At 46.1% G+C, this 17,503-nt stretch overlaps 1 long non-coding RNA gene across 1 annotated transcript, besides 1 other annotated feature; it reads left to right on the top strand.

The window, feature by feature from the left end:
* Positions 1-756: 756 nt before the first annotated feature.
* LOC105371449 (uncharacterized) lies at positions 757-11,213 on the top strand. Its single transcript, XR_001738239.2, has 2 exons — positions 757-1,078; positions 9,593-11,213. It is a non-coding gene; the product is annotated as an uncharacterized LOC105371449 (long non-coding RNA).
* Positions 10,895-11,395: an enhancer, noted in NCBI's record as "H3K4me1 hESC enhancer chr1:154883471-154883971 (GRCh37/hg19 assembly coordinates)". NCBI's record gives its function as "activates a minimal SCP1, AML or CMV promoter by ChIP-STARR-seq in naive H9 embryonic stem cells {active_cell/tissue: H9 hESC(naive)}" and the evidence as "EXISTENCE:reporter gene assay evidence [ECO:0000049][PMID:30033119]".

The following is a 17,503-nucleotide window of genomic DNA, read 5'->3' as shown; positions in this document are numbered from 1 at the left end:
TACTAGAGTAAGAGTTGATGCAGACAGGGGGGTAGGGACTGGTGGGTCTCCTGTGCCCTCCGGGAGGGGTGCTGCCCTGCTTTCTTGGCTCTGGGTATTTAGAGGAGACACAGGATTATGACTTGGGAGCCAGTGGGTCTGTCTACCTGGTGACAGGTTGGTAGTGATGCCTTTTAAAATAGGAAGCCCAGTGTCTGCCGGATTCGAAGTTCATAATATTTTTTTTTTTTTTTGAGATGGAGTCTCGCTCTGTCACCCAGGCTGGAGTGCAGTGGCACAATCTCAGCTCACTGCAACCTCCACCTCCCAGGTTCAATGCTTCAGCCTCCCGAGTAGCTGGGATTACAGGCTCCCGCCACCACGTCCAGCTAAGTTTTGTATTTTTGGTAGAGACGAGGTTTCACCATGTTGGCCAGGCTGTTCTCAAACTTCTGACCTCAGGTGATCCACCTGTCTCGGCCTCCCAAAGTGCTGGGATTACAGGCGTGAGCCACTGCGCCCAGCCTCATAATTTTTTTTTTTAAGCAAGGTCTTGCGCTGTCATCTGGGCTGGAGTGCAGTGGTGCAATTACAGCTCACTGCAGTCTCAACCTCCTGACCCCAGGTGATCTTCCTATCTCAGCTTCTTGAGTAGCTGGGACCACAGGTGTGTACCACCATGCCAAGCTAATTAAAAAAATTTTTTTTTTAGTGATGGGGTCTCGCTGTGTTGCCCAGGCTGGTTTTGAAGTCTTGGGCCCAAGTGATCCTCCTGCCTTGGCCTCTCAAAGTGCTAGGATTACAGGCATGAGCCACTGCGCCCAGCTCATAATTTTTTTTAACTGATATTTCCCTAAATATAAAAACCAAGAATAACCCTCACTTTTGACACTATATGTTATGATGAGAGCCTTAGCTGCTTTTTATTTCAAGACATTCTCCCCACTTCACTGCTACAGGTTGACCATCCCGAGTCCAAAAATCTGAAACCTGAGGTACTCCGAAGTCCAAAACTTTTTGAGGGCTGATATGACGCCCAAAGGAAATGATGAGTGGAGCATTTTGTATTTTGTGTTTTTGGATCTGGGATGCTTAACTGGTAAGTATAATGCAAATATTTTAAAATAAAGATCAGAAATTCAAAACACTTCTGGTCCCCAGCATTTTGGATAAGGGATACTCAACCTATAGTCTTTGCTCACTTTGTCTGTGGTTATAATCTCAGAGTATAAAGCTACTTATTTATTTTTTTCTTTAAGACAGGGTCTCCCTCTGTCACCCAGGCTGGAATGCAGTGGCATGATTATAGCACACTGCAGCCTCAAACTCCTGGACTCAAGTGATCCTCCCACCTCAGCCTCTGGAGTAGCTAGGACTAAGGTACGCGCCACCATGCTTGGCTAATTTTAAATTTTTTTTGTAGAGATGGGGGTCTCACTATGTTGCCAGGGCTGGTCTTGAACTTCTAGCTTCAAACGAAGCTTCCACTTTGGCCTCCCAAAGTGCTGGGATTACAGGCATGGGCCACCATGCCTGGCCAAGTTATTTTTAATATTATGTGTCTGTTATTTTACTACTTCTTCTTTTTTTATTTATTACCCACCCATGAATGTATGTATATGTTATTTTAGTCATGATTTGTAACACTAACAGCCTCTTTAAAAATTTATTATTATATTTCTAAACAACTTTATTGAGCTATAATTAAAATATAATAACTACATATATTTAAAATGTACAATTTAGGTGGGGTACGGTGGCTCACACTTGTAATCCCAGCACTTTGGGAGGCTGAGGCGGGTGGATCACTTGAGGTCAGGAGTTCGAGACCAGCCTGGCTAACACGGTGAAACCCCGTCTCTACTAGAATACAAAAATTAGCTGGGCATGGTGGTACATGCCTGTAATCCCAGCTACTTGGGTGGCTGAGGCAGGAGAATCACTTGAGTCAGGAGGTAGAGGTTGCAGTGAGCCAAGATGGCGCCACTGCACTCTAGCCTGGGCAACAGAATAAGACTCCATCTCAAAAAAAAAAAGTACAGTTTACTGAGTTTTGACATATGTATACATCTGTGAAACCACAGTACAATCACTATGGACATATTCATCACTCTCAAACATTTCCTCATGTCCCCTTGTAATTCCTCCTCTCGCCTCTCCCTGATTCCCCACCCTCACCCCCAAGCAACCACTGGTCTGCTTTCTGTCTCTATGGATGTTTATATTTTCAAGGATTTTGTATAAAGAATAATAAAATTTGGCGAGATGCAGTGGCTTACGCCTGTAATCCCAGCACTTTGAGAGCTCAAGGGAGGGCAGATCACCTGAGGTCGGGAGTTCAAGACTAGCCTGGCTAACATGGTGAAACTCCATCTCTACTAAAAATTAGCCAGGTGTGGTGGCGAATGCCTGTAGTCCCAGCTACGTGGGAGGCTGAGGCAGGAGAATCTCTTGAACCAGGGAGGCGGAGGTTGCAGTGGGCTGAGATCGTGCCACTGCACTCCAGCCTGGGTGACAGAGCCAGACTCCATCTCAAAAAAAAAAAAAGATTAATAAAGTTTTATACAAAGAACAGTATATATTCTTTATTGTCTTGTTTCTTTTCATTGAGCATAATTATTTTGAGGTTCATCCACATTATTGGTGGTATCAGTAGTTCATTCCTTTTTTTTTATTGGTATGTGGTATGAATATACCACAGTTGTTTACCAGTTCACCTGTTGATGAACATTTAGGTTGTTCCTAGTGTTTGGATATGACAAATAAAGCAACTATATACATTGATGTACAACATGTATAAGTCTTTGTGTGGACATGTGCTTTCATTTCTCTCAGGTAAATATCTTTTCAACTTTTTTTTTTAAGACGGAGTTTCGCTGTTGTTGCCCAGGCTGGAGTGCAATGGCACAATCTCGGCTCACCGCAACCTCTGCCTCCCGGGTTCACACGATTCTCCTGCCTCAGTCTCCTGAGTAGCTTGGATTACAGGCATGTGCCACCAAGCCCAGCTAATTTTGTATTTTTAGTAGAGACAGGGTTTCTCCATGTTGGTCAGGCTGGTCTCAAACTCCCAACCTCAGGTGATCCACCCGCCTCAGCCTCCCAAAGTGCTGGGATTACAGGCGTGAGCCACCACACCCGGCCGACTTTTGTTTTTGAGACAGAGTCTTGCTCTGTCGCCCAGACTGGAATGCAGTGACAGGATCTCAGCTCACTGCAACCTCCACCTCCTGGGCTCAAGCGATTCTTCTGCCTCAGCCTCCTGAGTAGCTGGGACTACAGGTGCCTGCCACCATGCCCAGCTACTTTTTGTGTTTTTTCATAGAGACTGGGTTTTGCCATGTTGCCCAGGGTGATCTCGAACTCCTGGGCTCAAGCAATCTGCCTGCCTTAGCCTCCTAAAGTGCTGGGACCACAGGCATGAGCCACCGGGCGTGGCTTAACTTTATTTTTGGAGACTGTGTCTCATTCTGTTGCTTGGGATGGAGTGCAGTGGCATGATCACGGCTCACTGCAGCCTCGACCCCCCTGGGCTCAAGTGATCCTCCCATCTCAGTCTCCCGAGTAGCTGGTACTACAGGCATAAACCACCATGCCTGGCTAAATTTTTTTGTATTTTGTAGACAAGGTGTCTCCATGTTGCTCAGGCTGGTCTCAAACTCTTGGGCTCAAGCATTCCTGAGCCCAGGAGTTTGGCAGGCTGAGGCCTGCCTCATCCTCCCAAAGTGCTGGGATTATAGGCATGAGCCACTATGCCCAGCCACCTTTTTAACATTTTTTTTTTTTGAGACAGAGTTTTGGTCTGGTTGCCGAGGCAGGAGTGTGATGGCGTGATCTTGGCTCACTGCAGTCTGTACCTCCCGGGTTCAAACGATTCTCCTGCCTCAGCCTCCCGAGTAGCTGGGATTATAGGCATGCACCACCATGCCAGGCTAATTTTTGTATTTTTAGTAGAGATGGGGTTTTGCCATGTTGTCAGGCTGATCTCGAACTCCTGGCCTCAGGTGATCTGCCCACCTCGGCCTCCCAAAGTGCTGGGATTACAGGCGTGAGCCACCATGCCTGGTCTTAACTTTTTTTTTTGAGACGGAGTTTTGCTCTTGTTGCCCAGGCTGGAGTCAATGGTGCAACCTCAGCTCACTGCAACATCTGCCTCCTGGGTTCAAGTGATTCTCCTGCCTCAGCCTCCTAAGTAGCTGGGATTACAGGCACCTGCTACCATGCCTGGCTAATTTTGTATTTTTAGTAGAGACAGGGTTTCACCATGTTGGTCAAGCTGGTCTCAAACTCCTGACCTCAGGTGATCCATCTGCCTTGGCCTCCCAAAGTGTTGCGATTACAGGCATGAGCCACTGCACCCGGCCTACCTTTTTAACTTCTTCTTTTTTTTTTCTTTGAGTCTGTGTTTCACGCTTGTTGCCCAGGCAGAAGTGCAATGGCACGATCTCAGCTCACTGCAACATCCGCCTCCCAGGTTCAAGCGATTCTCCTGCCTCAGCCTCCCAAGTAGCTGGGATTACAGGCATGTGCCACCATGCCTGGCTAATTTTTGTATTTTTAGTAGAGATGGGGTTTAATCATGTTGGCCAGGCTAGTCTCGTACTCCTGACCTCAGGCGATCCACCCGCCTCAGCCTCCCAAAGTGCTGGGATTACAGGCGTGTGCCACTGCTCCTGGCTTACCTTTTTAACTTTTAAAGAAATCCCTGCCAAATTGTTTTCCAAAGTGGTTGTACCACAGTCCCACCAATTGTGAATGAGAGTTACAGTTGGTGTGCATTCTTACCAATACTTTATATGATGAGTCTTTTACCTTTTAGCCATTATAGTAAGTATGTAGTGGTATGTCATTGACTTTTTTTTTTTTTTTTTTTTTTTTTTTGAGACAGAGTCTTACTCTGTTACTCTGTCGCCCAGGCTGGAGTGCAGTGCCATGATCTCGGCTCACTGCAACCTTCACCTCCTAGGTTCAAGTGATTCTCCTGCCTCAGCCTCCCGAGTAGCTGGGACTACAGATACATGCCACCATGCTGGGCTAATTTTTGTATTTTTAGTAGAGACGGGGTCTTACCATGTTGGCCAGGCTGGTCTCGAGCTCCTGACCTCAAGTGATCTGCCTGCCTCAGCCTCCCAAAGTGCTGGGATTGCAGGCGTGAGCCACTGCGCCTGGCCCTCATTGGTATTTTATTTGCATTTTCCTAATGACTAATTTGGTACAAATCCTGTATTCACATTTGATGAAATCTGTCAGCAAGCTTGAAATAGGATGGTGATATAGTTTGGATATTTGTCCTCACCCAAATCGCATGTTGAAATGTAATCCCAGTGTTGGAGCTGGGGCCTAGTGGGAGGTGTTTGGATCATGGGGGCAGATCCCTTTTGAATGGCTTAGGCCATCAACTGAGTCATAAGTGAGCTTTTGTTCTGAGTTCACACGAGATCTGTTTGTTTAAAAGTGTGTGGCAGAGGCCAGGGTAGGAAGATCACTTGAGCCCAGGAGTTCAAGACCAGCCTAGCCTGGGCAACATAGTGAGACCTTGTCTGGATTCATTAAAAAAAAAAAAAAAAGTGTATGGCACCTTCCCCATAATCTCCCTCTCTCTTGCTCCTACTCTTGCCATATGACATGCCTGTTCCTCCTTTGCCTTCTGCCATGATTGTAAGCTTCCTGAAGCCTCCCCAGAAACTGAGCAGATGCCAGCACCATGCTTCCTGTAAAGCCTGCAGAACAGTGAGCCAATTAAACCTCTTTTCTTTATAAATTACCCAGTCTCAAGTATTTATAGCAATGCAAAAATGGCTTAATGTAGATGGAATATACTCAGCCTCATAAAGAATATCTGTAAAAGCCCTACTGCTAACAACACACTTAGTGGTGAAATACTAAATGTTTTCCCCCTAAGACTGGGAATAAGGCAATGATGTTTGTTCTCATCACCTATTCGACATTCTACTGGAGGTTCTAGCCAGTGCAATAAGAGAGAGAAAAAAAAAGCCATCTAAATTGGGAAGGAAGTAATAAAACTCCTTTTATTCATAGATGACATGATCATCTATGTAGAAAATTGGATGGATTCTCCAAAAAAGCTATTAGAACTTATAAGTGAGTTCAATAAAGTTGCAAGGTCAATATACAAAAGTCAATATTTCTATTTCTTAGCAATGAGCAATCAAATTGAGATAAATAATGCCAATTACAATACCATCAAAATATGAAATAGGGATAAATCTGATAGAAGACATAACATCTGTACATTGAAAATGACAAAACATTGCTAAGAGAAATTAAAAGACTAAATAAGCAAAGAGATTATACTACATTCATATATTGGAAGACTCAATATTGTTTATTTTTTTGAGTTGGAGTCTCACTCTGTTGCTTGGGCTGGAGTGCAGTGGTGTGATCTCGGCTCACTGCAACCTCTGCCTCCCAGGTTCAACTGATTCTTGTGCCTCAGCCTCCCATGTAGCTGGGATTACAGGCACATGCCACCACACCCGGCTACTTTTTGTATTTTTAGTAGAGATGGGGTTTCACCATGTTGGCCAGGCTGGTCTCAAACTCCTGACCTCAAGTGATCCGCCCACCTCAGCCTCCCAAAGTGCTGAGATTACAGGCATGAGCCACCGCACCTGGCTCAATATTGTTAACATATTTATTTTTTAAATTCAGGTATAATCACACACAGTGAAATGTACTGACCTTAAGAATACAGTACAATGAGTTTTGACAAATGTGCACACCTGTATAACACAAACCCTTATCATGATAGAACACATTTTCATTATTTCAGAAGGTTTCCTTTTAACTCATCCTACTCAATCCCTGCTTTCCCAGAAACAATTGTTTTGAATTCTTTCACCATAGATTAGTTTTGCCTGTTCTAGAATTTCACACAAATGACTAACATCCAACTTTAAACCAAATTTACAACAATGATTTATAATTTAGACTTCACCGGTTTATTGCTCATTTTCAATCCTTTTATAGTACCTCAACTTCCCCATTTTTGAATTTTGTATTTTGATTCCTCTCCAGATAGTTAATGTGTCTTGAAAAATTTTTTGAAAATGGTATGTAGATGATTTTTTTTTTTTTTTTTGAGACAGAGTCTTGCTCTGTCGCCCAGGCTGCAGTGCAGCAGCATGATCTTGGCTCACTGCAACCTCTGCCTCCTGGGTTAAAGTGATTCTCCTGCCTCAGCCTCCTGAGTAGCTGGGATTACAGGCATGTGCCACCACACCCAGCTAATTTTTGTATTTTAGTAGAGATGTGGTTTCACCATGTTGGCCAGGCTGGTCTCGAACTTCTGACCTCAAGTGATCAGCCTGCCTCGGCCTCCTAAAGTGCTGGGATTAGAGGCATGAGCCACTGCGCCCGGCCATGATCTATTTTCTGAACCTATATGTATGAGAGAATGACATTCTCTTGCCTCTATATTTGGACAATGACTTGGTTGGCATAAGTTTCATGACCTGGTTCCACTGTCTGGAGAGTATGAGGTCACCTTGACTTTTGTTCCTTTGAAGGTAACCTTCTTTTTTTGCCTGGATGCTTTTGGATATTTTCTTTCTTCTTTTTGTCTTCATTTTCGAAATTCAAATCCTGGCATTCTCCAAGGCAGAGATATGGACGTGTCTTAACAGGAAAAAGTTGGCATCTTATTGTTCCTGGTAAAGCATTATTGAATAATGAGATGGGAACTGAAATGGTCTTGTGCATCCAACTGTCTGCTGTAACCTAAAGTAGTCACCTTGGGCATTTGGGCTGAGACACTTCAGGGCTGTTGCCTTTATCAAATGGCTTTGGGAGCTCCTCTTTGCTTTGAGGACCTGCCCTCAACTCTGCCAAATTCTCATCCCCAAAAGTGCATTTGGGTTTTGGAAACGACCAAAGGGAATTTGGTACTAAACTCTGGTGAAAGAGACATCTTATGGCCAGGAAAAATAGTCCTGTAATGTAATAATTCTAAAACTTACCAAAGTTAATTCTCAGAGAGGAATTTTTAAAAGTTGCCTTAGTAATCAAGCCTCTGTATCTTCGCATGTGCCATTCATGCTGCCTAAAGTACCCTTCCTAGTTGCTTGGGCTTGGACCCCTACAACTTGAGCAGAGCAAGGGGCACTCCACTTCCATTTCCAGAATGCTCCACAGTGTACACTTTCTCACTCCTCCACCATGCTGTGAGCAAGTAAGGAAAGGTTTTTTTCCTTTCGAGTCTTTGGTACATTGCACATAGTAGAGGTATATTAGTCGGTTTTGCATTGCTATAAAGGAGTACCTGAGACTGAGTAATTTATGAAGTAAAGAGTTCTACAGGCTATACAAGCATGGCACCAGCATCTGTTCTGCTTCTGGTGAGGGCTCAGGAAGCCTCCGCTCATGGCTGAAGGCAAAGGGGGAGCAGGCGTGTCACATGGTGAGAGAGGGAACAAGAGAGACAGCAGGAGGTGCCAGGCTCCTTGAAACAACCAGCTGTCCTGTGAAGTAACAGAGAGAGAACTCACTCATTACCACTGGGATGGCACCAAGCCATTCATGAGGGTTCTGGCCCCATGACCCAAACACCTCCCATCAGGCTGTACCTCCAACATTGGGGATCACATTTCAACATGAGATTTGGAGGGGATAAACATCCAAACCATATCAGTAGGTCTCAATACATGTTTGTGACAATGAAGAAAGTTTATGTGTTAGAAAACAATATGACCTCCTAAGCTTATTGTCATGAAGCAGTTAGCAGTCATTTGGATGTATTAAGTTATGGCGAATGTGTTTGAAGCAAGAACAAATTGCCTCCCGTTGCATTACTCTTACTCATTATAGACAGTCACATGCTGGCAAATGTTTAACAATCAGCTCCCTGGAAGGGGAAAAACAGCCCTGATTTGTAGTGTTTGACCATTTCTGTAGTGTAAATATTCCCACTGTGGCTGATTTCAATCTACCAGTGGGATGTCAGCTGGCTAGCAAAATCCCTGAACATGCAAAATGTTGGCTCTTGCAAGCCAGTAGAAGGTGGCTGAAGCTGGTTCCAATGCACCATTGTACACATTCTACACCTCTTTTGTTTTTCCATCATCACCCAGTTCATTTGCGTGCTCCTTGTACAGCACATGTCTATGACTATATTTTATCCCTTGCATCAATCTGATACTATTTTTATCTTCATTTTACAGGTAGTAAAATAAGGCCCAGAGACAAAGGGACTTGTCCAAGGTGGCAAAGCTTTCCTGTCTATTCCTGGGTTCAGTTTCTCACTGTAGCTCCCTGCCTGGAGCCCGACACTGCAAGGGACTAGAGAGATGTCTTCTTTGCCCAGTTTTCTTTTCTCTGATGTTGAGGGAAGGACCCAAGCACCCTGTGCTTGCCACCAGCTCTCATGCCCAGGACATTCCTGCTGGCAGCTGAGCTGTGATGAATGCTGGCATTTGTCTTGTTCACTTGCTACCTGATAAACAGGTGACAGGGAGTTTAACAACTTTCATTAGACGGGGATCAGCTCTCACTCTCATGGCCTAATTCAGGATCTGGACAGTGTCATGTTGTCTGACAGCCAAGTGAAGTGATGGGTCCCCCTTTACAGTTTAGGATTTTAATTATTTTCTTCCAGGTGAGTCCCAGGAACATCCAGCCAAAGGCAAGTTCTTTGGGAGCCCAAGCTCATGGCAGTGACAGCTCCCCCAGGAGACGAGAGGTGAAACTGATGCCTGCTTCCTGCTATGTTATTTTGTCTTTAACACTTGCCAGTTTCTGGGCTTGTTGAAGGCCTATGTTAGGGACTGTGTGAGACTTTCTGAGAGATCACCACCTAGATATGTGATGTCACACAAAGTGAGTATTGTAATGGACCTCAGTGATCTAGCTCGAAACCTCTTGCTTACAGACGAGGAAACTGAGGCTCAGAGAGGGGAAGTGGTTTGCTCAAGGTCAAGCGGCAATGACTGGCAATGCCAAAAGTTGGCCCCAAGGCTTCTGACTCCCCACTCCGTGCCCTTCCCTCACCCTAAATGTCTCAGAGAGCATGAACCTGTGCCCTTTATCGGAGGAGGGCAGAGACGGCTCAGCCTGAGCCCATGGGAGTTCAGCCCAGTTCCCTGCTTCCTGGGTTTGTCCAGCCTACTCTGAAGAGGCCAGGCCACCTGCCTATTCCACCTGGCATGTCCTGCTTAGGTGAATCAAGCTGTACCAGGATGAGGAAGCCACAGAGTCACTTCCCAGAAGGGAATAATGCTGTGTGCTAGAGGATGATGGGGTGGGAGAGATGGGAACAGACTTGGACTTGCTGTTCCTAGGGTGCTGAGGCTGAGATTCCTGAGGTGGGGGAGGCCCTGCCCTTCACTGTGGCTGTTTTCCATCTGGGCATTGACTGTGTCTGCTAAATGGGACATGCCCAGCAATGTCCTTCTGCCGTGACACCTTTGGTGAATTTCCAGGCATATTAGAACTGAGCCAGTGGTAGCTTTGGCTCCTCAGCTCTTCTGCTGCAGTGGCTGGCTGTCCTCAGGACAGCTGGATTGGATTGGGCATTGTTCTAGCAGATCTGGGATGTTCCAGGAACCGCACTATAAATTCTGTTGAGTATTGGCTGAGTGTGCCAGGAAGGGCAGGGGGCCAAGGACTTGGATCCATTTGGCAAAGTTACTCTCAGCACCTCTTGAAGAAAGCACTAGAGAGAGAGGGGCTCAGAACCTTGCCTGGGCAGGGTCAGTGGGGAAGCAGTGGGTCAAGGGAAGATAACATGATGGCATGCTTCATGATTTACCATGTGTTTTCCCATATATTATTTCATCTAATCCTTGCAATAGCCCTATTGTCATTTCCATTTTAAAACTGAAGAAATGGGGACACAGAAAGATGAAATGACTTTGCCCAGCACACTTTGGAGTCAGATTTGAATCCCACCTGTCACTATCCACCTGTGGGATCTTGAGCAAGTTAGGTTACCTTTCTGAGCCTTGATTCCTGCCTGTACAAAGGGGATAATGCTGCTCACATGGAGGTTTGTTTAGGCAGCACAGCACTTGCCTGGAGCAAGAGGCCAGGGACTGACTTTTTCCTTTTCCCCTGACCTCAAATCACACAGCCCAAGACAGTGGAGTTGGGCCTGGGATTGAACTTCTATTCCATTTTTAGTGTCTTCTCCCCCTTACTCTTTGGTATATGTGAGATAAAGCTGGCAGTTTTGGAAAAGGAATTCTTATTAAGAAATAAAGGGGAAACATGGAAATAGACATGAAGGTGTGAAGGGCAAAATGCTGACGCCATGTCTGTGTAATGTGGAGCTCAGGCTGGCGTGCCCGGGGCTCTCCCACCTCCACCCCTGCTCTTTTGTCTCCTCTCAGCATGTCTGGCTGGCCCAGACTTGCAATATGCCCACAGGCTGGTCCTCCAGGGTTCCAGGGGCCCTCCCAGAAGCTTCCCCCACCTGCTCTGGGTGTGGGCCCTATGAATGGGATCAACAATGAATGGTCTGAGCCTACCTTGAACTGGGAGTGTGGCCAACCAAAATCAGCCCTGCACAGGCTCGGTGTGTCCTTTGGTGGCCCTGGGGCCCCGAGTGAGTGGCTCCTCAGCACACCTCAGGACTCGAACCCCTTCCCACCATGGCCACAGGTAGTTTTTTGTTTGACAACAGAGGTGAATCTGGAAGGTCCACACTCAGGATGTATAGGCCATGTAAGCATGAGTGAGGTGCAACTTAAGCCTTGGTCATACCTGGTTTCCTTCTGTCAATCATTCTTCATGGGCTCCATTTTCATGACATCTGGTGGGATTGAACTTGACCAGCTCAAAAATTGGTATTGTCAATTATGGTCAACTTCCATTAAGCCAAACCTAGTATGGAGCTTGGAGCCCATTCATTCATTCATTTAACCAAGGAGTATCTATCACCCATTATACATGAATCAGGACATATAAGGTTGAACAAAACCCAGCCCTTGCCTTTGGGGAGCTCACAGATCAGTAGGGGTAACAGACAAGAAAATACAACCGTGTGATAACAGGGATGATAATACTTTCAGGAGGAGGGAGGGTGAAGTGATGTGACAGTGACTTGCAGAGTCTATGGAATTAGATGAGCTGACTCCTGCAAGCCAAGCAGGCCATCGTGACCCTTCCCTATGTAGTTGCTGCCATTGGGACTTACCCAGGTGTGATGGGAGATGGAAGGAGCTTGGGGCACACAGCAGTGCCACCTCATGTATGCCCTCATTCTTCCACCCTCTTTCTCGGGGTAGTTTGACTCATCTGAGCCTGGGTTTCCTCCACTTACATCTCAGGGAGGGGTTTGACCTTGCCTAGTGCTGGCCGGATGGATGGTCAGCTCCATATCTTGGCGCTGTGACTTCCTGGGACCCGCCTTTGCTTCCAGGAGTCCATGTTTCTTCTGGTCACTGATTTAGCCACTGCAGTCACCCCTGCCCCAACTCCTGGCAAGGGTTATGGATTTTATTCAGTACACAATGTACACAGTTTTGGTCTTAGGATATAGTGACCTATGGCTGTCTGCCCATAATTAGGTCCTTATTTCATGTTATTTGGTACTTTTTGCTGAATAGCCTGGGCAGGCCCTTTTACTATGGCTTTGGTCTCACCCCTTGGATGACCATTTTGGTGCTGTGCTCTCCATTCTGAACTTTTTTTTGAGAGGGGGTCTGGGTCTTGCTATGTTGCCCAGGCTGGTCTCAAACTCCTGGGCTCAGGAGTCCTCCCACCTCAGCCTCCGAGTAGCATTCTGAACATTTTGCTCCCAGTTCCTAGGGCTTGCCAGGCTCCTGCTCACCTTTGCTTACCTTTGTGTGTACTGTTTCTCTCCTGGAACGCTCTTGCCCCTTCTGCTCTCCTGGCCAACTCTTCCTCTTGCTTTGGTTCCGTGTCACTTCATTCTCTGGCTTTGCTACTCCTTCCCCAAGGTGAGGTGTCCTTGCTCTGGAATTCTACAGCATGCTCTGTCTAGCCTCACCATCTCCTGGGAAAGTCTATGTAACTGTCCTCCCTGCAACCCTCTGAGCTCTCTGGTCCCTCTTACTGATGCAACTCCTAGCATTTCTCATGTGGCCGGTGGGCAGTAAATGTTGAAAAAGTGAATAAGAGAGTGAATCCACCACTGGTCAGGAGGCCATAATTAGGACCATGAAAGAGCCTGGGCTCTGGGGCACATGGATCCATTAGCTCAGGTCCCAGACACACAGTGGTGGTGTGGCCACATTGATGTTGTCTCTTTTCCAGGCATCAGGAAGCTGAGCAGGTGATGAAAGCCAGAGCGGCTGAGCCCTAGCCTGTGTCCCCGCCTTATCTCCTCAACCCCATTCTCCTCCTCCCATCCCTTCCTCCTGCCTCGGTGGTGAGTCTTTCCGTGCTTAGCTGCTCACTAGTGCCCACCCCCATCTATGGCCCTGCCACATTAACTAGCCCCTCTCTCTCATGTTTTCCAATTTCTCCATCCTCGCCTGTCCTGAAACAGCTTTCCTTCTGCTGACCCCTCCAGTATCATCTCAGTTATTTTGTCCCCTTTACTCCTGAACACTTTGCAATTTGACCTCTGCTCCTGTCTCTACTGAAACTGCTTCTTGAAGGTCACCCACCACTGACAGCGTCTTTAGTTCTCCCTCATGACCAGTCTGCATCAGCCGACCAACTCACCCACTCCACTCCCTCTCTCTTGAATTCACTTTTTTGGTTCTCCTGCCTTTCTGCTCCTGCCTTTTCTATTTCTGACTCCTCCTCTTGTTGGGGTGATCAGACCCAACACCAGGTCGTAGGGGTGACAAAATCCGGCAAATTCAAAGGATTGAGAAAAAGAGTTTGAGAGAGAAAGGTGGGATCAGGGGGCCATCGCGATTGTGGAGGCTGCAAAGGCCCTGAGCTCTGGGACCCTGTGGTATTTATTAGTAATCCAACAAAGAAACAGGTGGTGAGAATGTGGAGGTCAAAAGGGCAGGCACATGATCTATAGCTGTGATGGTTTAGCATTTATAAGGAACATTTTCTGCTACTTGAGATAGTGAGAGTAGGTTCTTTTAACTCAAGATACAATTGATCCTGGGAGAGCAAGGAGCCAGCAAGTCTAGACACATTCCAGAGCCATGAGCCCTGGATTCTATCCAAGTCACGAGGGATTTTATGCCCTGGGCTTAGATTATGGTGCGTCAGGGTAGCCTTCCACCCTTTAGCACAGAGCTTGGTGTTCCAAAGGCCACAAGGGGTTTTAGACCCTGGACCCCGGACATGTTCCAAGACTCTTTTACATTGTGTCAGACATGCAAACCCTGCCTCAGCTTCTCCTAACACTCAGCTTTTCCCAACATCCTCTCTTCTTGTCCTAGAAATACAGGTGTTCCTCAGGCCCTGCCTTCTGTTCTCTCTTTTGCCTCCTTCCTTGGTGAGATCACCTTAATATGGATGACTCTGGAGTTTTCCTGTCTTTACATGGGCGTCCTATGCGCTGTATTCGGAGTGGCTTCATGTTGGCTCTTGAAGCGTGCTTCTTCCGTAACGGGCTCCCTTCCATCACTCACACTGGAACAGGGTACCTGGCCGAGACCCAACCTTCAGATTTTTGAAGACTTGGTAAACTGAAAAGGGAAAAACTGCTATGGAAAAGTTGCAAGGAATTTTTATATTTAGAGGTGGTGAGATCAATTCCCTTTAGGATCAGGGAGTCTCTTCGTTTCAGAAAAATTGCCCAAAGGAGCCCTTTCATTACGCACATATGAAGTAAGCACTTACCCAGTGCTTGGGCAGAATGCAGTCCCAGGATACCTGAGTGCACTAGCTTTGATCCATCATTCTGTTTGGCAACATCATCTCTTGTGCGTAACTGAGCCGGAGCTCTGCCTCTGAGCCATTCTTACTTTTTTTTTTTTTTTTTTTTGGGACAGAGTTTGCCCAGGCTGGAGTGCAGTGGCACGATCTTGGCTCACTGCAATCTCCACCTCCTGGGTTCGAGCGATTCTCCTGCCTCAGCCTCCTGAGTAGCTGGGATTACCATGTGCCACCAAGCCTGGCTAATTTTTTTGTGTTTTTTAGAGATGGGGTTTCCCCATGTTGGCCAGGCTGGTCTCAAACTCCTGTCCTCAAGTGATCTGTCCACTTTGGCCTCCCAAAGTGCTGAGATTATAAGCGTGAGCCACCATGCCCGGCCCATCCTCACTTTTGGGGAGTTGGGGGAAGGAAAACTATTTCTTGAATCTGTAGGAATTTAGAGGACGCTGAGCTGCAGACTGCTGTTTGTCTTGTGGGATTGAGTGTTCTTGTAGGCCAGTGGTTTGTGGGGTGTCCAGAGCTGAGGTGACAAGAACTGCTGGTAGGACCCATGGATGTGATGCGCTCATACTTTGTCTTGGAGGACAGACTAAAGCCAGAGCTGTCTGGACCCAGTGCAGTAGCGCCTGAATGGGATGGGCCGCAGGTGGCCTGTTTGTGGTCATGTTGTCTGTCTCCCACTGGACTGTAGGCAGCATGAGGGCAAGCACCATGCTTCTCCAGTGTCTAGCTCACACAGCACCTGGCCAATCCCTGCCGATTGAATGAAAGATGAATGAATATTGTGGGCTGCTGTACTTGGGGCCATAGAGCAAGAGCACCCTCTCTTGGTAGGGCTGGGGTTTCTCCGGAAGGATCCATAATCCTGGGAAAAGAATGCTCTTCAATGGGAAAGGTGGGCTGTCCCTGGCTACTGGGGAACCTCTTTATTTCCTCTGTGGGCTGGCTGGGAGCTCATCGTGGTGGTGGGCCTGGGGCCCTGAGAGTAGCGCCATCTCTAGTAGCTGGAGCTGTTTCTCCTCGGCCTTGTGCTTTCCTTCCGTGATCCTTAGTAAGAGTCTGAGGTGTGGCCTATGGAACTGCCCCTCACATTTGTGGGGCTGGAACAAGAGGCCTACATACTAGATGTCTAAACATTCAAAAATTATAAATAAGCCAGGCTCACGCCTGTACTCTTACCTACTAGGAAGGCTGAGGTGGGAGGGTTGCTTGAGCCTAGGTGTTTGAGTTCAGCCTGAAGAACATAGTGAGACCCTGTCTCAAAAAAAAAAAGTTATAAATAAAACTAACAAACTGTTAAATAAATAAAATGTGGCTGGGCGCAGTGGCTCACGCCTGTAATCCCAGCACTTTGGGAGGCCGAGGCAGGTGGATCACCTGAGATCAGGAGTTCGAGACCAGCCCGGCCAACATAGTAAAACCCCATCTTTACTGAAAGTACAAAAATTAGCTGGGCGTGGTGGCTCATGCCTGTAATCCCAGCTACTCGGGAGGCTGAGGCAGGAGAATCACTTGAACCGGGGAGGTAGAGGTTTGCAGTGAACCAAGATTGCAACACTGCAGTCCAGTCTGGGCAACAAAGTGAGACTCTGTCTCAAAAAAAAAAAAAAAAAAAAAAATATATATATATATATATATATATATATTCACATATATATTCATATGTTCATATATATGTATATATATTCTAACCTCCTACTTTGACAAATATACCTTTATAATGACAAAGCTGAAAAATATGTAACTCAAAGTTGCCAACATATCAAAATTGATTGAATTTAATTATTGTTGTATATGTCTAGATGTTCTATTAATGTGCCAGAGATGATTGCATAAGTAATGAAGGTAAATGTCACTTATAAATTATTCTATTTTTCCATAACGTTTATTTTTCTTGCCTTTATTTTAGAAAATCACAAATTATATTAATTTGATGAAGATCTTCACCTAATTTGTGTGCTGTTGATAGTAATGATCTAGATAAAAGTATAAAAGTCATTTTTTCTAAAAAGTATAGAATCTGAATATTTTTCATTAAAATATACATTGCAATAAATGTAAAACACTAAGAAATTAAGGCTGGGCGAGGTAGCTTTGGGAGGCTTAATTTTGGGAGGCCAAAATTAAGCACTTTGGGAGGCTGAGGCGGGTGGATCACCTGAAGTCAGGAGCTCAAGACAAGCCTGGCCAACAAGGCAAAACCCCGTCTCTACCAAAAATACAAAAATCAGCCGGGCGTGATGGCGCATGCCTGTAGTCCCAGCTACTTGGGAGGCTGAGGCATGAGAATCGCTTGAACCTGGGAGGTGGAGGTTGCAGTGAACCGAGATCGCGCCACTGCGCTCCAGCCTGGGTGACAGAGCGAGACTCCGTCTCAAAAAAAAAAAAAAAAAAAGAATGAATAAGATCTAGTATTTGCTAGCACGACAGGGCGAATATAGTAAAACAAAATTGTACATTTAAAAATAACAAAACCTAGGCAACATGGCAAAACTCTGTTTCTACGAAAAACACACAAAAATTAGCAAGGTGTGCCGGTGTGTGTCTGTAATCCTAGCTACTCAGGGGGAGCTGAGAGGTGGAAGGATCACTTGAGCCCAGGAGGTTGAGGCTGCAGTGAGCCAAGATTGCTCCACTGCACTCCAGCCTGGGTGACCCTGTCTCAAAAAAAAAAAAAAAAAAAAAGAACAACAAAAAAGCCTAGAACAATATAATTGGATTGTTTGTAACACAAAGGATAAATGCTTGAAGTGAT

Source organism: Homo sapiens, chromosome 1, assembly GCF_000001405.40.
Source record: "Homo sapiens chromosome 1, GRCh38.p14 Primary Assembly".
Classification (NCBI taxonomy): Eukaryota; Metazoa; Chordata; class Mammalia; order Primates; family Hominidae; genus Homo; species Homo sapiens.
Note: the sequence above shows the minus strand (reverse complement) of the source record. Positions and strands in the feature narration are given on the sequence as shown.